The following is a 22,612-nucleotide window of genomic DNA, read 5'->3' as shown; positions in this document are numbered from 1 at the left end:
CAACAATGCTCGCATTAGGACAGACATATACATCAACGGAATAGAACTGAGAACCCAGAAATTAACCATCACATTTATGTTCAACTGATTTTCAAAAACGATGGCCAGGCAATTCAATGGGGAAAGCATGGTCTTTTCAACAAACGCTGCTGAGCCAACTGTACATGAAAAGAATGAAGCCTGGATCCTACCTAACATCATATACAAAAATTAAGTCAAAACGGATCAAAGACTTAAATGTAAGAGCTAAAACTATGCAAATTTTCCAAGGAAACATAAACTCCCTGGTTTGGATTGGGCAATCAGACACGACAACAAAAGCAAAGAAACCAACTGGAAAACAAGAAGGTGGATTTCATCAAAAATTAAAAACATCTGTGCTTCAAAGGAAGGCATCAAGAAAATAAAAATTAGGCCGGGCACAGTGGCTCATGCCTATAATCCCAGCACTTTGAGAGGCCGAGGCAGGTGGATCACTTGAAGTCAGGAGTTCAAGACCAGCCTGAACAACATGGTGAAACCCTGACTCTACTAAAAATACAAAAATAAGCCGGCGTGCTGGTGCGCACCTGTAATCCCAGCTTCTCAGGAGGCTGAGGCAGGGGAATCGCTTGAACCCGGGAGGCGGAGGTTGCAGTGAGACTAGATTGCACTCCAGCCTAGGCGACAAGAGCGAGACTGTCTCAAAAAAAAAAAAAAAAATTAGAAAGTGAAAAGACAGCCCACAGAATGAGAAAAAATATTTGCAAAAAAGTAGAGCAGTGTCGGGGGTCGGGGAGGGAGGATTAGGGAAGTCCTGCTAATGGGTATGAGGTTTCTTTTTGGGGTGACGGAATGATCTGGAAGTAGTGGTAATGACGGAATGATCTGGAAGTAGTGGTAATGGTTGGACCACTCCAGACATACCAAAGAACCCCACTGAGGTGCACATTTTAAAATGTGAATTTTATAGTAAATGAATTACATCTCAATAAAAATAAATCATCTGCTCCTGGACTGATACTGGAATATGGCAACAGCTATCGGTGTGAAGACATTTTCAAAGATGAAACAGAAAACTGTGTCACAGTAAGCACTTAACAGATGAACAGCTCCAGTAATTTTTATGATGGGGAACATTAACATTGAACCCCAATTAAGCAAAATGTTATCCCCCCAAAAATTCTGTTCTTCTAATCAGTAGATCTGTATTACAAAAAAAAAAAAAGTAGTCAATTATATTTTGATCTTTGTCAACAAAAATTTGTGGAGTTATCCTTGATTTTGCTTCTTGGTGCATGAGTCTGAAATACTATCCAGCCTGCTCAGAAAGAGTTTGCCACCCCTGGAATAAACCACCCCAGAGCTGACCTGAGCATGCCTTCCCTGTCCGGGTGAATGGCACGGCCACCCACCCTTCCGTTCAAGCAGAGAACCCAGCATTTGGCTCCGGCCTAGTCCCACAAGTCATCCTTGTGCCCTCCTCATCTGCCACATAACCGGTGACCACCCACTCCCTGAGGACTGCGTTTGCTGCCTCCACTGCCATCCGTCTACAATCCGTTCTTCACACAGCAGCAGGAAGACCAGGAAGGAAGCCAGAGCCTAACACGCAAACCTGATGAGGTCACTCCCTGCCTTGAAACCCTCCTACTGCCCTTATTGCAAGGACGAGAATCATTAGCATGGTCTCCACAGCTCCATCAGCCCACCTAGGTTAGCAACCTGCCCCGTGTGATGCTATACCCAGGAATATGATCAAAGGAACAGTCATTAAATGCTTGAAGAAGTGGTCTAGGCCGGGCACAGTGGCTCACGCCTGTAATCCCTAAAAAGTGGTCTAGGCTGGGCACAGTGGCTCACGCCTGTAATCCCAGCACCGTAGGAGGCCAAGGCAGGCAGATGGCTTGAGTCCAAGAGCTCGAGACCAGCCTGGGTAACATTGTGAAACCCTGTCTCTACCAAAAATACAAAAATTACCTAGGTGTGGTGGCACGCATCTGTAATCCCAGCTACTCGGGAGGCTGAGGCGGGAGGACTGCTCGAGCCCAGGAGTTTAAGACCAACCTGGGCAACACAGTGAAACCCCATCTCAAAAACAAAAACAAAAAAAAGAGCACAACTCAGACTACGTCTTCATGCATTCGCCTCTGCATTTTCAAGGGGAACTGGGGCTGAAAGGTTGACTTACTCCCACCTGCACCTTTCAAGTGCCTTCTGTGATTCCTTCCCAACCCTCCCCCAACCCTGGAACGAACACCATTCTACTGCACCATCCTAGCCCAGGGCAGAGCCAGCTCTAACATATACCAGCTACATGGTAAAGTCATCGAACCCCTCGACAGGACAGTAACATCTACTGCATCTAAGTGACGCTGAATGAGGGGGATACATTCGGAGATATGCGTCATCAGGTGATTTCATCACTGTGCAAACGTCAAAGAGTGCACTTCTGCAAACCTATTACACATCTAGGCTGTGTGGTGTAGCCCATGGCTTCCAGGCTATAAACCTGCACAGCGCGTTACTGCAGGTAAGTGCAACACAATGACACATGTGCGTCTGAACACAGAAAAGGCAGTGCACTACCCTACTACAAAGCAATGCCCACGACGTGATTAGGCAGTAAGAATTTCTAGCCTCTATTATAATCTTTTTTTTCTTTTTTTGAGACAGGGTCTCACTCTGCTGCCCAGACTGAAGTGCAGTGGCACCAACACGGTTCACTGCAGCCTTGACCTCCTGGTCAAACAACTCTCCCCACCTCAGCCTCCCGGAGTAGCTGGGTCTACAGGCACACACCACAATGCCCAACTAATTTTTCATTATTTTTTGTAGAGACAGGGTCTCATTATGTTGTCCAGGCTGATCTTGAACTCCTGGGCTCAAGTGATCCTCCTGCCTCAGCCTCTCAAAGTGCTGGGATTACAGGTGTGAGCCACCACGCCTGACCTTCATTCTAATCTTAGGGGACCACCTTCATGTATGTGGTCTGCCACGGACCAAAATGTCCTTAAGTGCCACATGACTGTATATTCATAAACATCATGAAATATGCACAGTAATTAAATACTGGTGACCTGCCAAGAGAAGAACTAGTGGCTAGGGAGGTACTTTTTCAATTTTATTTTATTTTTATTTTTATTTTTTTTCCAAGACAGAGGTTCACTCTTGTTACCCAGGCTGGAGTCCAATGGCACGATCTCAGGTCACTGCAACCTCCACCTCCCGGGTTCAAGCGATTCTCCTGCCTCAGCCTCCCGAGTAGCTGGGATTACAGGCGCCCGCCATCACGCCCGGCTAATTTTTTTATATTTTTATTAGAGACAGGGTTCCACCAATGTTGGCCAGGCTGCTCTTGAACTTCTGACGTCAGGTGATCAATCCACCCGCCTCGGCCTCCCAAAGTGGTGGGATTACAGGCATAAGCCACCACACACGGCCATACTTTTTCAATTTTGAACCATGTAACTGTCCTATATGCTCAAAAAATTAAATCTAAACACCTATATCATGACTAACCCATACCACTCAAGCCAAGCCTGCTCACTGGCCCCCTACTTCCGCTCTCCACACAGCAGCCAGGGTCATCTTTTTAAAGTATCATTCCATGCCTAAAATCTTCAAGGACTGTCTACAGTGGTTATGAAACTTCCCAACTTGTTACCATGGTAACAAGGCCCTGGATAACCTTGCCCTGCCTCTCCAGCTTCATCTCATGCCACTATCCCCTTCTGACCTTGTAATTCCACTGTGCACCAAAGGATACAGACCTCACCCAAATCACAGTCGAGGAAACTGGGACTTTTCTATGTCACACACCATGCAGCTACCAAAAACACTGAAGATACGAATGCACGTCAGACAATACGGGACAGAGGAAGTACAACGGCACATAATCACTGATTACCACCAATTTTAAATAAAAACACATACACTCACGAGGATCAGGAAAAAAACAGATGACAAATATATGGCATCCTGAGGTTTCTAGGTTTGATTTCTAAATTTGCTAAAATGCCTAATTTTTGTTAATGTACACTTTGTCCACCTTCTCATGCCAATTCATGTCTCACATCCTTTAAGACCTAGACTATGTGTTGGACAAGAAGCTGTTAAAGGAAAAAAAAGACCTAGACTAACTCATCTTCCTCAAGGAACTTTTCCCCACACATGTGGCCGCAGCAATTGTGGCCATCCAGCAGCCTCTTCTTGTTTACTTTTAACTGACTCTCATTTCCTACTCAGTAATATTTGCTCTGTTCTATTATTAAATTTTGTAACATCAGGGATCAATCTCAAAACTTTGTATGTCCTCTTACAAATACCTAGAATTGCACTGCATAAACAGAAAGTGCTCAAAACAGCATCTTAAATATACTGTGATCAGAACCAGCCTATTACAACTAGAATACAGAAAGAAATCCACAAGCTTTTCCAGAATGAAACAGCAGCTCACAGTGATGTTCCTGGGAAAGTGGCCTCTTATCCAAGAGACTCCATTTCAAAGGAAATGCTACCTCTGAAGAGTTATAGCAGCCACTTTAGCTTTGTTTTTCAAAATCCAAAATCATCAGATTTTTTTTTAATACATGAAAATATTAAAAGTTAAAGAGAAGCAAAACAGTAAGAAAGGAGAATTCTCAGTCCTGGAAGTAATGCTTTCTATATCATACCTGCCATAGGCCAAATTAACTGGGCTCTAATAACTATTCTCAGCCGGGTGCGGTGGCTCATGCCTATAATCCCAGCACTTTGGGAGGCCGAGGTGGGCGGATCACCTGAGGTCAGGAGTTCGAGACCAGCCTGGCTAACATGGTGAAACCCCGTTTCTACTAAAAATACAAAAAACTGGACCAGGTGCGATGGCTCATGCCTGTAACCTCAGCACTTTGGGAGGCAGAGGCGGGCAGATCACGAGGTCAGGAGAGCGAGACCATCCTGGCTAACACAGTGAAACCCTGTCTCTACTAAAAATACAAAAAATTAGCTAGGCATGGTGGTGGGCGCCTGTAGTCCCAGCTACTTGGGAGACTGAGGCAGAAGAATGGCGAGAACCCAGGAGGCGGAGCTTGCAGTGAGCCGAGATCACGCCACTGCACTCCAGCCTGGGCAACAGAGCGAGACTCCATTTAACAACAACAACAAAAAAACTGGCCAGGTGTGGTGGCTCACGCCGGTAATCCCAACACTTTGGGAGGCCGAGGCAGGCAGATCACCTGAGGTCACGAGTTTGAGACCAGCCTGACGAACATAGAGAAATCCCATCTCTACTAAAAATACAAAATTAGCCAGGCATGGTGGTGGGCGCCTGTAATCCCAGCTACTCGGGAGGCTGAGGCTGGAGAATCGCTTGAACCTGGGAGGCGGAGGTTCCAGTGAGCCAAGATTGCACCACTGCACTCCAGCCTGGGCAACGAGAGCGAAACTCCATCTCAAAAAAAAAAAAAAAATACAAAAGCAAATAACTATTCCCTACCTGGTTTGCTGAGTGAGCAACTTAAAATCAAACTGCCCACTTACCTTAGGATAAAGTAATCCATCAACCATGCTTAATCCAATGAAATGATTGAAAAAAAAAATAAAGTTCCTAAAGAATCCAAAACATGATTCTTATAAGCCAAATTATTTTCAAAGAAAAACTCAATAAAATGTGGTCAAACCTACACAGCTCTTTCAGCACATGACAGGAAGCAGAAGAAGGAAACCAGGGCTCTAGCCCCACCTCTGGCTCTGGCCACGTGTGGGATCTCCAGCAACTAAGGTAGCCACAGACGCTCTTTTCGACATTAGAGCTGAGGCACAAACATCACCCTTGCTGGCCCTTACTATGACTCCAGAACCTTCCGACCACAACCAACAACTGACATAGTAAGATCCGAAGACAGGCAGCCCTTTTCATAGGACAGCTGTGCTTCTAGTTTACGGAAGAATCTGCTTCTCAAGATTTATGGAAAATGCTTCTCAGGCCAGCCACAGCAGTTCACGCCTGTGATCCTAACACTTTCAGAGGCCAAAGCGGGAGAATCGCCTGAGCCCAGTTGGAGATCGGCCTGGGCAACACAGTGAGACTCCATCTCTACAAAATGTTTTATAAATTATATTGTGTAATTAAAAATTAAATGTTTAAGTAATTTTAAAAAAAGAAAAATTGATTCTGATCCTCTCTTCTCTTAGCAAAAATCAATCAAAGACAAGAAAAGCAGGAAAGAGACACATAAACCCCAAGACATGTGAAATCCCTAAATAGAACACAAATAGGAAGACAGAGAGGTAGAGGAGAGCTAACCTATCCCACAGAGTAGAGGAAGGAGAAACTTAAATAAAGGAGTTGCAGCTGAGCAGCTGGCAGACTGACCCCAGAAAACACAGAAGGGTGGGGACAATGGGGGTGATGCCTGCAACTACAAAGGGGAATGCGGGCAAAACTCCACCTGAGAACAGCTGACCTCTCAGGTCTCCTCCTCAAGCAAGTACTGGTCTTCTGTAGCCACAAGACACCAGACGTTTAGCCCCATAAAAAGGTCCACCAAAAATGGCCGGGCATGGTGGCTCACACCTGTAATCCCATTATTTTGGGAGACCCAGGAGGGTGGATCACTTGAGGTCAGAAGTTCAAGACCAGCCTGGCCAACATGGCGAAACTCCCTCTCTACTAAAAATACAAAAAGTAGCCACACGTGGTGGTGCACAACTATAATCCCAGCTACTTGGGGGTGGGGGGGTAATGAGGCAGGAGAATTGCTTGAACCCAGGAGGCAGAGGTTGCAGTGAGCCGAGATCACACCACTGCACTCCAGCCTGGGCGACAAGACCAAGACTCTGTCTCAAAAAAAAAAAAAAATCCAGCTTATACCAGCAAGGCAAGAAATTGAGGGATCCTTCAAGAAAACCAAACCAGCAGACAGAACCTCTGCAAAAGGGCCGGGCGCGGCGGCTCACGCCTGTCATCCCAGCATTTTGGGAGGCTGAGGTGGGCAAATCACGGGCGCAGCGGCTCACGCCTGTCATCCCAGCATTTTGGGAGGCTGAGGTGGGCAAATCACCTGAGATCAGGGGTTTGAGACCAGCCTGACCAACATGGTGAAACCCCGTTTCTACTAAATATACAAAAAAATTATCCCGGAGTGGTGGTGCGCACCTGTAATCCCAGCTACTTGGGAGGCTGAGGTAAGAGAATCGTTTGAACCCGGGAGGTGGAGGTTGCAGTGAGCCAAGATCACGCCATTGCACTCCAGCGTGGGTGACAGAAAGAGATGCCATCTCAAAAAAAAAAAAAAAAAAAAAATGGCCAGGCATGGTGGTTCATGCCTACAATCCTAGCACTTTGGGAGGCAAGGGGGGTGGGTCACCTGAGGTCAGCAGTTTGAGACCAGCCTGGCCAACATGGTGAAACCCTGTCTCTACCAAAAATACAAAAATTAGCCGAGCGTGGTGGCGCACGCCTATAATCCCAGCTACTAGGGGGTGCGAAGGCAGGAGAAGCGCTTGAACCTGGGAGATGGAGGTCACAGTGAGCTGAGATGGGGCCACTGCACTCCAGCCTAGGCAACAAAGCGAGACTCCGTCTCAAAACAAAACAAAAACAAAAACAAAATTAACCAGGTGTGGTAGTGCACGCCTGTAATCCCAGCTACCTGTGGGACTGAGGCAGAATTGCTCGAACCTAGGATGCAGAGATTACAGTGAGCAGAGATCACGCCACTGCACTCCAGCCTGGGCAACAAGAGCAAAACTCTGTCTCAAAAAAAAAAAAAAAAAAATTCTGCAAGAGAGCCAACAAAACAGCAGCAGCCAACCATCACCCTACAGTGAAGGCAACAAATAAACAAGCCCCCAGCACTCAGCTTTCCATGGTGAGTGCTTTATTCGCAACACGGCAAAATGGCCAAAGACAATGAGACACTAAAGGAAAGGTTACATCATAGAAGAAAGACTAAGAGATAAGACAGCAAAGAGGAACGAATGCAGGGAAAACACAAAAAATGAAGGAAACAACTTTTTTTTTTTTTTTTTTGGTTAGAGACAGTCTCTCTCACTCTGTCACCCAGGCTGGAGTGCAGTGGTGTGATCATGGCTCACTGCAGCCTCAACCTCCCGGACTCAAGCAATCCTCCTGCCTCAGCCTCCTGAGTAGCTGGGATTTCAGGCACGCACCAGCTGGTCATGGTGGTGCATGCTGGAAGTCCCAGATTTTAGGGTCTTGCTGTGTTGCACAGGCTGAGACATTTTTTAAATAGTTTTTTAATAACTTTAACTGTAATTTTAAAATTTTAATTGTAATTAAAATAAATAAGCAAAGATACTATATATATAAAACAAGAACAGGAGATACTAAAAAGAATAGAAAACAGTAAAGAATATAAAAATATAACAACTGGGCCAGGCGTGGTGGCTCACGCCTGTAATCTCAGCACTTTGGGAGGCCAAGGCGGGTGGATCACCTGAGGTCAGGAGTTTGAGACCAGCCTGACCAACATGCAGAAACCCCAACTCTACTAAAAAAAAAAAAAAAAATACAAAATTAGCCAGGCTTGGTGGTGCATGCCTGTGATTCCAGCTACTCGAGAGGCTGAGGCAGGAGAATCACTTGAACCCGGGAGGCAGAGGTTGCAGTGAGCCGAGATCGCCCCACTGCACTCCAGCCTGGGCAACAAGAGCAAAACTTCGTCTCAAAAAAAAACAAAAACAAAACAAAACAAAAAATATATATATAAATAACAACTGAAGTTAAAAATTCGATTAAAAAAATTGAGAAGTGGTCAAAAATGCTCCCCCAAAATAGAACAAGACCAAGACATGACAAGAAAATATACTTAAAATCAGAAAACTAAATACAGGAAGTCCAACATTCAACTAAAGGAAACGGAAAAGGAGAACACAGAGAAAACAGTAAAGAATAAACTGTCGGCCACACACGGTGGCTCACACAGGTAATCCCAGCACTTTGGGAGGCCGAGGCGGGCAGATCACTTGAGGTCAGGAATGTGAGACCAAACTGGTCAACATGACAAAACCCCATCTCTACTAAAAATACAAAAATTAGCCAGGCATGGTAGCACGTGCCTGTAGTCCCAGCTACTTGGAAGCTGAGGCAAGAGGCTTGCTTGAGCCCAGGAGTTCAAGACCAGCCTGAGCAACATAGTGAGACTGTCTCTCTCCAACAACAACAACAACAACAAAAAACCTCCTATAATGAAAGGGTGTCAATCTTCAGATTTCACAGCTACTTAGGCACCTGCATAATACATAACAAAAGGCTAGCACTAAACGCATGATAAATATTAGGAAAATCACGGATGCAACGATCCTAAAGGTTCGGCAAGGGAATAGTGCTTGCAAACGGTTAAGAATGAAATTGGGCCTTGCCAGCAAGGTGGCCCACGCCTGGAATCCAAGCACTTTGGGAGGCTGAGGCGGGTGGATCACCTGAGGTCAGGAATTTTAGACCAGCCCAGCCAATATGGCGAAACCCCATCTCTACCGAAAATACAAAAATTAGCGGGGCGGGGTGGCAGGAGCCTGTAATCCCAGCTACTTGGGAGGCTGAGACAAGAGAATCACTTGAACCCAGGAGGTGGAGGTTGCGGTGAACCCAATCGCGTCACTGCACTCCAGCCTGGGTGAAAAGAGCAAAACTCCATCTCAAAAAAAAAAAAAAGAAGAATGAAACTGGGCCAGGCTCGGTGGATCATGCCTTTAATCCCAGAACTTCAGGAGGCCGAGTTCAAGACCAGCCTGGGCAACATGGCAAGGCCCTGTCTCTACAAAAACAGAAAAATCACTGCCGGGAACAGTGGCTCACGCCTGTAATCCCAACACTTTGGGAGGCTGAGGCGGATGGATCATTTGAGGTCAGGAGTTCGAGACCAGCCTGGCCAACATGGTAAAACCCCATCCCAACTAAAAATACAAAAATCAGCTGGAGTCCAGGCATGGTGGCTCAAACCTGTAATCCCAGCACTTTGGGAGGCTGAGGAAGGTGGATCACTTACTTGAGGTCAGGAGTTCGAGACCTGCCTGGCCGATATGGCGAAACCCTGTCTCTACTAAAATTACAAAAATTAGCCAGGCGTGGTGGTGCCCACCTGTAATCACAGCTACTCGGGAGGCTGAGGCAGGAGAATTGCCTGAACCGGGCAGGTTGCAGAAAGACAAGATCACACACCACTGCATGCCAGCCTGGGCAACTGGATGCCAGACTGGGTGAAACCATGTCTCAAAAAAAAAAAAAAAAAAGAGGCCGGGCATAGTGCCTAATGCCTGGCCTGTAATCCTAGCACTTTGAAAGGCTGAGGTGGGCAGATCACAAGGTCAGGAGTTCAAGACCAGCCTAGCCAATATGGTGAAACCCCGTCTCTACTAAAAATACAAAAAAATTATCTGGGCGTGATGGTACACACCTGTTAATGCCACCTACTCAGGAGGCTGAGCCAGGAGAACCACTTGAGCCCAGGAGACGGAGGTTGCAGTAAGCCGAGATGGCGCCACTGTACTCCAGCCTGGGCAACAGGGTAAGACTCCATCTCAAAAAAAAAAAAAAAAAGAAAGAAAGAAAAATCAACCGGGTATGGCGGCACACACCTGCCGTCCCAGGTACTACTCAGGGCACTGAGGCAGGAAGATTACTTCAGCCCGGGAGGTCAAGGCTGCAGAGAACTATCATTGAACCACTCCTCCAGACTGTCTCAAAAAGAAAAAAGACCAAACCAGACTTCTCAAGAGCAACAATGAAAACTGAAAGATATTGGAGCTATGACTTCAAAATGACTTTCCAACCTACCAGCCAAACTTACTAAGCGCACGGGCAGAATAAAGACATTTGCGGCCGGGTGCGGAGGCTCACTCCTGTAGTCCCAGCACTTTAGGAGGCCGAAGTGGGCAGGTCACCTGAGGTTGGGAGTTCAGGAGCAGCCTCGCCAAGAAGTTGAAACCCCGTCTCTACCAAAAATACAAAAATTAGCCAGGCACAGGCGTGGTAGCAAGCACCTGTAATCCCAGCTACTTGGGAGGCTGAGGCAGGAGAATCGCTTGAACCCAGGAGGCGGAGGCTGCAGTTAGCAGAGATAGTGCCACTGCACTCCAGCCTGGGCGACGGAGCGGACCTCCATCTCAAAAAAAAAAAAGAGTAAATACATTTTCAGACACGCAAACCCCAAAAGTTCACCGCTTACCACACCTTCCTGGCTAGCTAACGGAGAGTGTGTTCCATCACCAGGAGGGAATAAACAGTGAGCAGCATCAGACACAGGGAAAGGTGAGGAGACTCCTTTGGATGATGCTGTGTACCAGGCAGAGGGAACATGCATTCTTTTTTTTCTTTTTTTTTTTTTTGAGACGGAGTCTTGCTCTGTCGCCCAGGCTGGAGTGCAGTGGCATGATCTTGGCTCACTACAAGCTCCACCTCCCGGGTTCACGCCCTTCTCCTGCCTCAGCCTCCCGAGTAGCTGGGACTACAGGCGGCCGCCACCACACCCGGCTAATTTTCTTGTATTTTTAGCAGAGACAGGGTTTCACTGTGTGTTAGCCAGGATGGTCTCGATCTCCTGACCTCGTGATCCACCCACCTCAGCCTCCCAAAGTGCTGGGATTACAGGTGTGAGACACCGCGCCTGGCTGTATTTTTTTTTTTTTTTTTTTGAGACAGGATTTTGCTCTGTCACCCAGGCTGCAGGGCAGTGGCACAATCACAGCTCACTGCAGCCTTGGCCTCCTGGGATCAAGCGATCCTCCCACCTCAGCCCCTCAAGTAGCTGGGACTACAGGCACATACCACCACCACACCCAGCTAACTTTTTTACTTCTAGTAGAGACAAGGTCTCACTCTGTTGCCCAGGCTAGTCTCAAACTCCTGGGCTCAGGGGATCCTCTCATCTCGGCCTCCCAGGCATGAGCTGCTGGCCCTGGCCAAGAACATACATTCTGATTGGGGCAGGATGAACATAAGAGAACAAAAATCTTCTCTAATCTAAATCTTACACTAATTCACCATTAATGGAAGTCCATAGTCGACCCCTAAAGTTGGTGAATAAAGACATGACAATACAAACATATATTTAGAAACATGAAGTAAATGCTCAAGAGATGCAAGTGGGCTGCTTCTTCTCTAGAAAGACAGAAGATGATCGGCCGGGGGCGGTGGCTCACGCCTGTAATCCTAGCACTTTAGGAGGCCAAGGCAGATAGATCACTTGAGGTCAGGAGTTCGAGACAAGCCTGGCCAACATGGTGAAACCCCCATCTCTACTGAAAACACAAAAATTAGCCAGGTGTGGTGGCAGGCGCCTGTAATCCCAGCTACCAGGAAAGCTGAGGCACAAGAATCACTTGAATCCGGGAGGCGGAGGCTGCAGTGAGCCAAGATCGGGCCACTGCACTCCAGCCTGGGCAATAGATCAAGACTCATTCTCAAAAAGAAAAAAAAGGGGGGAGGGGGGAGGGATAGCATTAGGAGATATACCTAATGCTAAATGACGAGTTAATGGGTGCAGCACACCAACATGGCACATGTATACATATGTAACAAACCTGCACGTTGTGCACATGTACCCTAAAACTTAAAGTATAATAATAATAAAAGAAAAAAATAAAAAGAAAAAAAAAAGAAAGACAGGAGATGAGAACAGCTTTTTTTTTTAAGGGTTTTAGCACTGATTTTTTAAATTATGCGCACGTGCCTGCATTATTTTAAAAAAGAAAAAATAAAGAAGCGATACATAGTAGCCACCCTGCTACTTGCCTGAGAAAGCCTTCCTGCTGGAAGGTGACGTTTTGCTGAGACAAAAGCCTTGAGTCAAAGGAACCCTAGGATCTGATCCTCAGTGACCCTGGACATATTTAAACCCTAAGATGCCCCATTTACTAACTAATCCACAAATGGGGAATGGAGGATATATTCAACTACCTCAGTAGTTTTTTTTCTTTTTTTTTTCCTGAGACAGTCTCTCACTCCGTTGCCCAGGCTGCAATTACAGGCACACACCACTATGCCCAGATAATTTTTGTATTTTCAGTAGAGACAGGGTTTCAACCATGTTGGCCAGACTGGTCTCGAACTCCTGACCTCAAGTGATCCGCCCACCTCGGCTTCCTAAACTGCTAGGATTACAGGCATGAGCCACCACGGCTGGCCAGTTCTTTTTGGTAGGAAAATGTATTGACTATCTTTGTAAATCAAGGAAAAGAAATGAAGTTAGATAAGTTTCCAGTGTCAGCTTTATTACTTTAATCATTTGGCAATTAATGAACCCTGACCCAGGAATCATTTCCCAGGTTTAGTGACAACAGTGATCACATGCCTACCTACTGTCCAGAAGGCCAGAGTTGCTGCGCTACACACAGGGGCTCCCTCACCTTCTCATACACCTTGATGATAAACCCTTAGAATTATCAATCTAAAAACAGAGCTTTTATTAACCTAAAATGACCATCACAGATATAACACATTTAGCAAGCATCAGCTCTATGGCCAAACCACCTGCAACTCCATCTTCTTGGCCACAAGCTCTTCAATCTTGGGCCTCACTGCGCCTGTCTTCTCATTTATAAACGGGGAGGTAACAGTACCTACCTCTTAAGGTTGCTGCTAGGCTCAAATTATTGAATTCATGCAAGGCACTGGCACTATGGCAGGGTTGGACACAAGTCAGGGCTCAGTCAACACAGGCTGTCATTCTCATCAGGTGTGTAAAGCCCTATTCAAGGCTGCCTATGGAACCAGAGACATCTGGAGCCATTTGCTCATCGGTCATGTATTAAACACCTACTACGTGCCCAACACTGTACTAGTGCTGGTCCTACAACCGACTGGCCAAGTTATCTAACCCTTCCTCCTCAGCTAAACAGGAAACAACAGGACGGGCACAATGGCTCATGTCTGTAATCCTAGCACTTAGGGAGGCGGAGGCAGGCAGATCGCTGGAGTCCAAAAGTTCAAGACCAGCCTGGGCAACATGGTGAAACCCCGGTCTCTACCAAAAAAATACAAAAAAATTGGCCAGGTGTGGCAGCACCCGAGGTGGGAGACTCCTTTGAGCCTGGGTGGTCGAAGCTGCAGTGAGCAGTGATCATGCCTCTGCATTCCAGCCTGAGTGACAAAGGGAGATCCTGTCTCAAAAAATAATAATAATAAATAATAATTTAAAAAAGGAAATAACAGCACCTGCTGCACAGGGTGAAGAAAACCGAGGGAGGCGCCTGATCTAAAGGTCTTGCACAGTGTGTGGGATCCAGTGGGTACTTCATAAATGATAGAATTCATCACTACACGTCTTCTCCCCTACAAGCCTAGAAGTGACTTGAAATTTTCTAATTTCGCTTTTTGTTCTCAGTGACTAATATTAATTCCTTGAATGCTGCAGATACTCAGCAAAAACTCCTTGCATTGAATTTAAGAATTCCCCTGCACCTTCCCAGTTTACTTATTTCAACACCCCCCAAAAATGCAGGAAAAAAATAAACAAAAAGGCCATACATTACCTGAGTTAAAATACAGTGTTAAGTCTATGCACCAGGATACTGTACGGCTTCTTACTACACCTTAACTTTCTAAGCTTTAGAAGTCTCAACTGTTACTAGACAGTTAATTTCAAAGAAATACTTCTACGCTGACAGTTTTCTCCAAACCGGTCCCTTATCTCAGCCCTAGGACCACACTATTTCTGCATCTCCACGGACACACCACCTCCTGCTTGCTTTTCCTTCAGAGGGACGCCAGTGGTCCACTCGCAAGACTTTAATCTCTACGCTGCTTCCTTTCCTAAGCAAGGAAACAAACTATCCTTGAGAATGAGCACGGGGAAGGCCGAGACCATTAACAAAAGAATGTGAACTTTTTACATCGAGAGCCCTTTAAAGCTGCTGGTTTGGAAATAAACTTGAGTCCGCAAGCTTCCCACCGAGCGTGCTTTCCTGCTTCTGACAGCCAGCAGGGCTGGAGCAGCATTGTCTGGGGAGAAACACGCCGGGACTGGCCAACTTTTCGTTAAAGATGGTGCCATCCTACTCAGAACAAAGTGAAAGGTCAACGAAGCGAAGGAAGAGCTCCGAGAGGAGGGACAGCCTCGCCTCGGCCGGCGCTCCAAAGTTGGCCGGCCCCGCTACTTTTCCTTTTGTCCTCCGCACCTCCCCGGCACCCTGGCCGAGGCCCTCCCCGCAGATCCGGCTTGCGGGCGGCGGCGGCGGCACGGGGTCCGTGGGGGGCGCGGGCACAGGTACGCGGTCGCCTCCCTCACCTGCGCCCCCGCCCGCTCCCCCAGCCGCCGCCCGGCCCGCGCCGCGCACAAAGCGCGCCCGGCGGGAGCGCGGGCCGGACGCCCGGCGGCCTCGGCCCGGCCTCGGCCTGAGGCGGCGGCAGCGGCGGCGGCGGCGGCGGGGGGACCCGGGGCCCCGCCCGCCCGCCGGCCGCCTGCCGCCGCCCCGCCCGGTTCTTCGCCCCCGCGCCGCCTCCGCCGCTGCCCGCCGCCCCCGCGCCGCCCCCCGCCGGCCCCGCTGCTCACCTCGGCATCGGCGGCGGCCATGGCCCGGGCCCGCAGCGTGGCCCCGCCCCTCCCGCGCGCCATCGCCCCGCCCGCGCCTCGCGGCCCAGAGTCGGGGCGGGGCCGATCGCCTACGTCTGCGCCTGCGCCTGCGCCCGCGCCTGCGCGTTGGAGCTCGACCGGTGCGGCGCCTGCGCACTGGAACCAGGCGTGCGGCGCCCCAGGCGCCGGGCCTGCGGCGGCCGGAACCGGAACGCGCGCCCGCGGGGTAGGAGACCTGGAGCTGGAGAACCCGCCCGCCAGAGTCGTAGTAGTGGATGGGGAGTAGCCGTCCCATTTTCAACACATGTCTCATTCTAAATTGACGTTTTGGTGGGCTGGCCGAAGAAGGAGAAAGACCCGCGGCTCCGACCTCTGACCTCTAACCCCGGACGCACTTTGATTTCGCCGGCTTGCGCGGAAGGCTGACTCCCTGGGCCGCGGCCTGGCGCGGGAGCCGCCTGTGGGGTGTCCCCGGCGCGGGAGGGTGCTCTGGTTCAGGCAGGTTCCCGTTGCGGCGGGGTTCCCTCGGTTGGGAGGAATGCCCCTGCCGAGGGTATGCTCCGGCTGGAGGGGGTGTCCCTAACGGCGGGAATACCTGGACTGGCTGGGGTGTCCCACTGGGGAGGGTTTCCCGGTGGGGAGGTGTCTGGCGGGGGAGCGGCTCCGGCTAAGCATGGGTGTTCTGCTAGGAGGATGTGTCTGGCTGGGGGCGGTGTCCCAATCGGGAGGGTTGCCCTGATGGGGGAGGTTCTACAGTTGTGGAGATGCCAACCTGGGGGGCGCTCCGGTTGGGGGGTGTGCCCTCTCTGGTTACCCCGCTCTCGCTGCCACTCATAGGCCCGCTGCCCAGGTATGCACAAGTCAAGGCCTTTTCTGCAGACCAAGTAGCCTTCCCTGGAGAGCGCCCCCAGCACCACGGAAACTACCTACATGCCCCGCGGTGGTCAGCCCGCCTTATCCCAGCCCCGAGACCCAAAACAAGAAGCATGGACTGAATTTGAGGTTTCTGGATGGTCGTGTGAACCGAGGGGACGGGTACTGGACTGACAAGAAATGAGCCTTGAAGGTCAATCTGGGTGACACCCGAGTCTCCTGGTGAGTCGGACTCCGGAGAATTATCTCAAGTCCAGCATAGACAGCGCACATAGACAGAAAAGGAAACGGACAATCCCAAGTGCCAAGGGAACCTTCCCAGGTTTCTTTAGGGCAGCTAAACTGCTCTGTCAAAGCCTAAGTCCATTTATGACAGGCCGAGCACCCTGAGCCCTCGCAGGAGACACGAGCGCCTTCATGGCCCTCCTGCCCCGCACCCACCTCTCCGCCACCCCTGCTGTCTGTCCCTTCCCTGAAACCTTTATTTCGAGTGTCTTTGTGGCTTCCCTCTTTACCATCCTTGAGTTGAAATATCACCTCTTAAGGGAAGCCTTCCCTCTCCTCCCTAGTTAAAATGATACTGCCCCCCCATACCTGTCTTCGTTGACTTACTTGGCTCCATCACAGTGTGTGTCATGTGACTCTCCCACATCCTGATTTGGAATATTGTCTCCCTACTAGAATGTAAGTCCATGGTGCCTAGAACAATACCTGGTGTACAGGAGACAAAATATTTGTTGACTGGGCCGGGTGCGGTGGCTCACGCCTGTAATCCCAGCACTTTGGGAGGCCGAGGTGGGCAGATCATGAGGTCAGGAGATGGAGACCAGCCTGGCTAACATGGTGAAACCCCATCTCTACTAAAAATACAAAAAATAGCCGGGAGTGGTGCTGGGCGCCTGTAGTCCCAGCTACTCGGGAGGCTGAGGCAGGAGAATGGCATGAACCCGGGAGGCAGAGCTTGCAATGAGCTGAGATTGTGCCACTGCACTCCAGCCTGGGCAACAGAGCAAGACTCTGTCTCAACAACAACAACAAAAAAATTGTTGACTGAATAAAGGGAGTTAGAATGTGAAGAAAAATCCTTCACCAAGCAAACATCCACCCTAAGTGAAGGTGTGGGAAGCAGCTGCAGGCAGCTTTTTCACTCCATTTTTCCATCAGCTGCTACCCTTGTGTGCCCCTCAGCACTTATGTCAAGATGCTGCTCTCAGCACGTGACATGCTAACACTGCAGACTTCAGGTCAGTCCTGAGAGGCAGGCACTGTTCTTACCCACATTTTATAAGTGACTGAACTGAAGCAAGGGAGTGGTGAGAGGCAGTGATGGGATTCAGCCCAGGAGGCCTTCCTTTCAACCATATACTGCACTGCTTCCAGGAGGCGCTTCACAGATGACCCCACCTGTGGTACACTTTCTGCTGTTCTCCAATATTCATGCTGCCTGTCCCACAATTAGTAAAATTTTAGCCAAGTACAGGACTGCCTGGCTAAAGACCACATTTCCAACAGGAAGGGGACAGGTCAGAGACAAAAAGTGACAATCCATTTCCCAGTCTGTCCCTCAAAAGTCCCACCATTAGGCTGGGCAGTGGTGAAAGCTGTCAACAGCCATCTGGGAGCCAGGGATGGGAACCACTATGTAGGAATGACAACTCTGCCACAAGGCCAGGATCTGCCCCCTCTGGACTGTTCAAGAAATAAACTGTCATGCTATGAGGGTGGGGGGCTGTACCCTACAGTCCCACGAGTTTTTTGTGGGGTTTTGTTTTTTTATTTTTTGAGGCAGTCTTGCTCTGTCACCCAGGCCGGAGTACAGTGGCACAATCTCAGATCACTGTAACCTCTGCCACCTGGGTTCAAGCGATTCTCCTGCCTCAGCCTCCTGAGTAATTGGGATTACAAGCATGTGCCATGATGCCCAGCTATTTTTTTTTTTTTTTTTTTTTTGTACAGATGGAGTTTCACTATGTTGCCCAGGCTGATCTGGAACTCCTGACCTCAAGCAATCCACCTGCCTCAGCCTCCCAAAGTACTGGGATTACAGGAGGGAGCCACCGTGCCCGGCCTGGTCCTGTGCATTTTATAGATAAGGTAACTGACAAACCTAGCCACAGTCACCCCTTCGCCCTAAAGGAGAACTGGAATTTGAACCCAGAGCCTTCTTCACCACCATCTCCGTTGTTTCTGGAAGCACCCTCCAGGCAGGCCAGCCAGCATCACGGGGCCTCCCCTGGGGCTGGAACGTCTGCAGGATGCCCCTTTGAGAAATGCTGTTCCACAGAACCCTGCCTTTCAGGCCTTGGAGACGTGGGCAGGGGAGAAGCAGCGTCCCTCAGAGCCAGGCCTGGCAGTGGTGCTAGCAGGGGCCAAGGCCCAGGGAGCAGGGTCTCCTGTCGGAGGGACCTGGGCAAGCCCCTCCACGCGCCAGCGGGTTTCTCAGCAGGGGAGGTCCACACCACACCGCTTGGGAACCTGGGTGCCTAAACGCAACAGGAGCCAAGGCACAAATTTAACCAAACACCAAGGTTGCGTGAGGCCCCATTTCATGAGCCGGGCTCCAAGGACGTGTCCTTAGGCGGCTCTGGAAGGCCCAGCGCCAGCCCCCGTCCTCTGTTAAAGGGAGCCAGCCCCGCGGCTCCGCCCAGGCATGGTAGCCTGAGCGCGCCCCCAGGGTAGTAGGGGGCACCTGAGGAGCAGGGTCTGCCCTGGCATGAGCAGAGCCCAGGATGGGGTCAGGGTCAGGCCCTGCCAGAGGCTGGAGGGTGCCCAAGGCGAGGCCGGTGAGGCCCAGCTCTACAAATAAAGTGTTTTATTTACAGGAGTTGTCTCTCCAGGTCCCAGCTCCCTGCCACCCCCACCCCAGCCCCAGGGAGAAGAGGGCGGATGCCAGAGGAGCTGGCAGAGGCTGGGCAGGTCCTGAGTGGGCCAGGCTAGGCCAAGAGAGAAGGCACGAGGCCCTGGGCGCCCCAGTCCCAGGGCAGAGGCCAGGCCTGCCTGGAGAAGGCAGCACGGGGTCAGCTCTCAGGGGTCAGGCTGGGTTCCACGCCGCCGCAGCTCTGCTCATAAGACGGTGGGGCCTCTGCGGGAAGAAAGCAGGGTCTGCGTGGGGCTCTTGGCGTCCCCTCCCTGCCAAGCCCTGGCTGTCGACTCACCATAGGGGTAGCCCCAAGAACTGTACTCTGGAGGAAGAATCAAGGTGCTGGTAGTGGGCACTGGCCCCCCGGAGCCCTCTGCAAAGTAGGGGACAGTGGCACCTGTTGAAATGCACAAGGGAGGGTGCAGCGGGTGTGAGGCAGGGCTGCCATCCTGAGGGCAGGGCTCCGGCGCACCAGGCACAGAACTCAAGGTGGCCAGCAGGGGCTGCCGCTGCGAATGGCTCTTGGTGGAGAGGAAGACGGGGTCCAAGAAGTGGGGGCCGCCAGCCGCAGCCTCAGCCTCAGCCTCCTCCTGGGGTGGTGCGGAAGGCACCACCAGGGGTGGGGCCCCAGGAGGCAGCCCCAGGCCTGGCCGGGGGCTCACTGGGGCATGGTTCACAGCAATATTGCCAATGAAGACCGGGAGGGTCACAGTAGCTTCCGGCGCCTTCAGAGAGACCTGGACAGGATTGAGGTGGGGCATGAGGGGCCAGGGCCAAGGCCACTAGGCCTCAGACCACCCAGCCCCCAGCAGCACCAAACCTGTAAGTAGTAGTCGATGTGGATGAGGCTGCAGCCCGGCAGGGCCGACTGGGGCAAGGCAGGCACCAGGATCTGCTCGTGCCACTGCGCCCGCCGCCAGGCCTTGACGCCCGCACCCTCCACCTCCGCAATGGTCCGTACGTCGTGGATCCAGCGCTTGGCCTTATAGGACACTTTCTGGGGAAGGACCAGCCTGTGAGCCTGCGCAGGCTGCCAGCCCACCCCAGGAGGCCGGTCCAGGCAACTGGCGGGGGCTCTGACCTGCAGCAGACTGGCCACCACAGGGCTGGTGTCCTTGCCTGACTGGTTCTCAACGTCGGCATGCAGCTGCAGTGCCTGCCCCACCACATAGCCGCGGAGATCAGTGCTGGCTGTGAGGACCACGCTGCCCGTCTTCACCAGCTTGTAGGAGAACTTCTTGGTGGCAGAGGCCACGTTGGGTTGCTTGGGGGGAGGGCCAGGGAGGGGCTTAGCAGGTGTGCGCAGGCTGGATCCCTGTGGCATTGGGACAGGCCCCTCAGCCCTGCCACGCCCTGCCCCTGGACATCAGCAGTCAGCTCAGGGCAAAGAGGCCACTGCCTCCAGACCCTGGCCCCCCTCACCTCAGCTGGGGACAGGACGCTGGGATGAAGCAGTGCCTGCCCAGCTCTTCCCCAGCCTCCATGAGGGTGGGGACCCACCAAGGAGGTCACTGTGCCATCCTCACCTCAATGTCTGGGATGCTGTTCAGGTTCAAGGGGCTCAAGATATAGAACACGAGGCTGCACTTGTGATCCTTGGAAAACCGTGGCGTGTGGATGGCGGCCCTCACCTGGTGCACGATCTTCCCGAAAGGACCCTCAAAGGACGTGGGTGCAGTGGCTGGGGAGAGAGCAGGCACTGGTACCTGGCTGCCTTCCACCCTGCAGAGCCCACCTCCCAGGACCAGTTGGTCATCACCAGGCCTGTCCAGGCTGGGCTCTCACCAGGAAGCAGGAACTGGAAGGGGAAGCTGTGCTCTCCAGCGGGCAGGCTCCCTGCAGAGACAGGAGGGAGGTGGGGGGCAGTCCCCCCCTGAGGTGGCCTGAGGTGGCCACAGGGCCAGGATAAGAGTGGGCACTGCAGCTGACCAGCTCACACTGGGTCTCCCTGTCTCAGTCACCAGCGCCACAGCAGCACAGGGCTGTGGCTTGGGTGAAGGACTGAGGATAAGAGCTTGGCTTGAACAGGAGAGTGGTTTGGGAATGGGGCAAGGGTGAAACAGCTGTGCCAGGGGTCAGAGCCCACCCAAATCCAGCACAAGGGGGAGGTGGCCCCTTCAGCCACCCAGCGCCTATGAGAAAGCCATCAGGGCCCACAACCCTGGGACAAGATGGGCCAGTGCCAGATCCAAGAGGCAGATCTAGGAAAGGGGGAGGACAGGACAGACAGGCCCCACTCCAAGGGCTGCCCCCAGGGGTCACCACTCGGGAACTGGCTCCCAAACTTACCCTTGTCTGCCAGCGACAGGGAACTGTTGAAGTAACCCTCCTCCACTACCCACGCTGTGTCATTAGCCTTGTTGGAGACCCCGCAGGAACCTATGCAGGTCACCCGGATGGCTGCAAAGGGGATGGCTGCATGAGCCCCAGCCAGCCGACGGCCCAGGCCCCTGCTTGCTGCCAGCACAGGAATTCGACCTGGGGCCAAGCAGCACCACCTGGGCAGGGTCCTGGGAAGGCCAGTGAGCAAGCAGCCCATGCCACTTCAGAGGACATCTGCCCATCTCCTGTCTTGGGGGGCTCCAAGGGAATCAGGCAGGCGAGGGGCCTGACCAGCACAAAACGACGTCTGCCCTGCAATCCAGAGCAGAAAGACCCCAACGCTCATCCAGATGATGGCTGGGTTACCCCCCAGATTGGTAACCTTGGCTCCCAGCCAGACCTGCGAAAGCTCAGCTGCCTACAGGAGACACTCGGGACACACCAAGGGGCGCATCTTCTTGCTGCCCTGTGGACAAGTCAGTCAGGCAGGGAAGGACCCGTCCACACTCCAGGAAGCTAACTGCCAACCATCATGCTGCAGGAATGTGGCCAGACCCGCCTAGGCAGACACAGTGTTCCACAGTCAGCACACCGTTGGGTGGGGCCCTACTTCCTGGGCGAGCACTGCCCAGCGGGGCTGACTTTCTGCATCAGGAGACGGCTCAGTCCTCTCCGGCCTCCCTGGGGGAGTGCCCAGACCAGGAACTGCTTGAGGCAGAGGTGGCACTGTTCTGTGGCCAGGAACACAAATTCCTTAGTCCAACAGATGTGTGTCCAGAAACCATGATGATCAGAAGATCATGGCTGGACAATCAGGTCCAGCAGAAGCTGGTCACAAGGGAGGACAGACGCAGCAGAAGTACACACAGCACAAGACCCAGGTGGGCAGGGGTTGGGGGAGACAGTGGCAGGCCACCTGCACCTCCAGCCCCTCTTCTCCCTGCAGGGCTGAGTCAGGGCCAAAGATGGCCACCTCCCTGCCTGGTCCTGGTGGGGGTCACGTGAGGAAAAGGTGACTCAGACTCTGACACCTGCTGAGGGAGCAGCCAGGCAGGAGGAG

At 51.6% G+C, this 22,612-nt stretch overlaps 2 protein-coding genes and 1 long non-coding RNA gene across 33 annotated transcripts in view, besides 5 other annotated features; 1 reads left to right on the top strand and 2 right to left on the bottom strand.

Annotated features, from left to right (window-relative positions):
* Positions 1–15,521, bottom strand: part of EHMT1 (euchromatic histone lysine methyltransferase 1) — a 217,123-nt gene extending 201,602 nt beyond the window's left edge. For 21 of the 23 annotated variants that reach the window (XM_047423872.1, XM_047423875.1, XM_047423878.1 and 18 more), the window contains exon 1: positions 15,477–15,521. Coding sequence is in view for 7 of the 23 variants with exons in the window: in NM_024757.5 (NP_079033.4) it covers positions 15,477–15,497 (21 nt within the window). In the remaining 16 variants the exon portion in view is untranslated. Of the gene's footprint in view, positions 1–5,502; positions 6,018–15,476 lie in introns of those variants that run through there. The other 2 variants (XM_011519022.4, XM_017015134.2) reach the window with 1 other exon arrangement.
* Positions 1,415–1,709: an enhancer, noted in NCBI's record as "tiled region #6441; HepG2 Activating non-DNase unmatched - State 23:Low, and K562 Activating non-DNase unmatched - State 7:EnhWF". NCBI's record gives its function as "activates a minimal TATA promoter and a strong SV40 promoter by Sharpr-MPRA in HepG2 and K562 cells {active_cell/tissue: HepG2 | K562}" and the evidence as "EXISTENCE:reporter gene assay evidence [ECO:0000049][PMID:27701403]".
* Positions 5,904–5,963: an enhancer, noted in NCBI's record as "active region_29356". NCBI's record gives its function as "activates an Ori minimal core promoter by ATAC-STARR-seq in GM12878 lymphoblastoid cells {active_cell/tissue: GM12878}" and the evidence as "EXISTENCE:reporter gene assay evidence [ECO:0000049][PMID:35858748]".
* Positions 14,395–15,113: an enhancer, noted in NCBI's record as "H3K27ac hESC enhancer chr9:140513865-140514583 (GRCh37/hg19 assembly coordinates)". NCBI's record gives its function as "activates a minimal SCP1, AML or CMV promoter by ChIP-STARR-seq in primed H9 embryonic stem cells {active_cell/tissue: H9 hESC(primed)}" and the evidence as "EXISTENCE:reporter gene assay evidence [ECO:0000049][PMID:30033119]".
* Positions 15,439–15,738: a silencer, noted in NCBI's record as "silent region_20636". NCBI's record gives its function as "represses an Ori minimal core promoter by ATAC-STARR-seq in GM12878 lymphoblastoid cells {active_cell/tissue: GM12878}" and the evidence as "EXISTENCE:reporter gene assay evidence [ECO:0000049][PMID:35858748]".
* On the top strand, positions 15,631–19,194 carry ARRDC1-AS1 (ARRDC1 antisense RNA 1). 2 transcript variants are annotated; one of them, NR_122035.1, is made up of 3 exons: positions 15,631–15,995; positions 16,335–16,592; positions 18,327–19,194. It is a non-coding gene; the product is annotated as an ARRDC1 antisense RNA 1 (long non-coding RNA). The 2 variants fall into 2 exon arrangements; NR_122036.1 differs by lacking the exon at positions 15,631–15,995 and adding an exon at positions 15,997–16,050.
* Positions 15,779–15,828: an enhancer, noted in NCBI's record as "active region_29355". NCBI's record gives its function as "activates an Ori minimal core promoter by ATAC-STARR-seq in GM12878 lymphoblastoid cells {active_cell/tissue: GM12878}" and the evidence as "EXISTENCE:reporter gene assay evidence [ECO:0000049][PMID:35858748]".
* Positions 19,166–22,612, bottom strand: part of ARRDC1 (arrestin domain containing 1) — a 9,675-nt gene continuing 6,228 nt past the window's right edge. The window contains exons 2-8 of one of the 8 annotated variants that reach the window (XM_047424069.1): positions 21,520–21,630; positions 21,016–21,066; positions 20,757–20,911; positions 20,312–20,545; positions 20,051–20,227; positions 19,526–19,967; positions 19,166–19,452 (exon numbers count right to left, since the gene is read on the bottom strand). In XM_047424069.1, the coding sequence (XP_047280025.1) occupies positions 19,388–19,452; positions 19,526–19,967; positions 20,051–20,227; positions 20,312–20,545; positions 20,757–20,911; positions 21,016–21,066; positions 21,520–21,630 (1,235 nt within the window). In that variant the 3' untranslated portion in view covers positions 19,166–19,387. Of the gene's footprint in view, positions 19,968–20,050; positions 20,228–20,311; positions 20,546–20,756; positions 20,912–21,015; positions 21,067–21,519; positions 22,104–22,612 lie in introns of those variants that run through there. The other 7 variants (NM_152285.4, XM_006717321.5, XM_017015288.3 and 4 more) reach the window with 7 other exon arrangements.

The sequence above is a fragment of the Homo sapiens genome, chromosome 9, assembly GCF_000001405.40.
Source record: "Homo sapiens chromosome 9, GRCh38.p14 Primary Assembly".
In the NCBI taxonomy this organism is placed as follows: Eukaryota; Metazoa; Chordata; class Mammalia; order Primates; family Hominidae; genus Homo; species Homo sapiens.
This window is presented reverse-complemented; position numbering and strand designations above follow the sequence as displayed.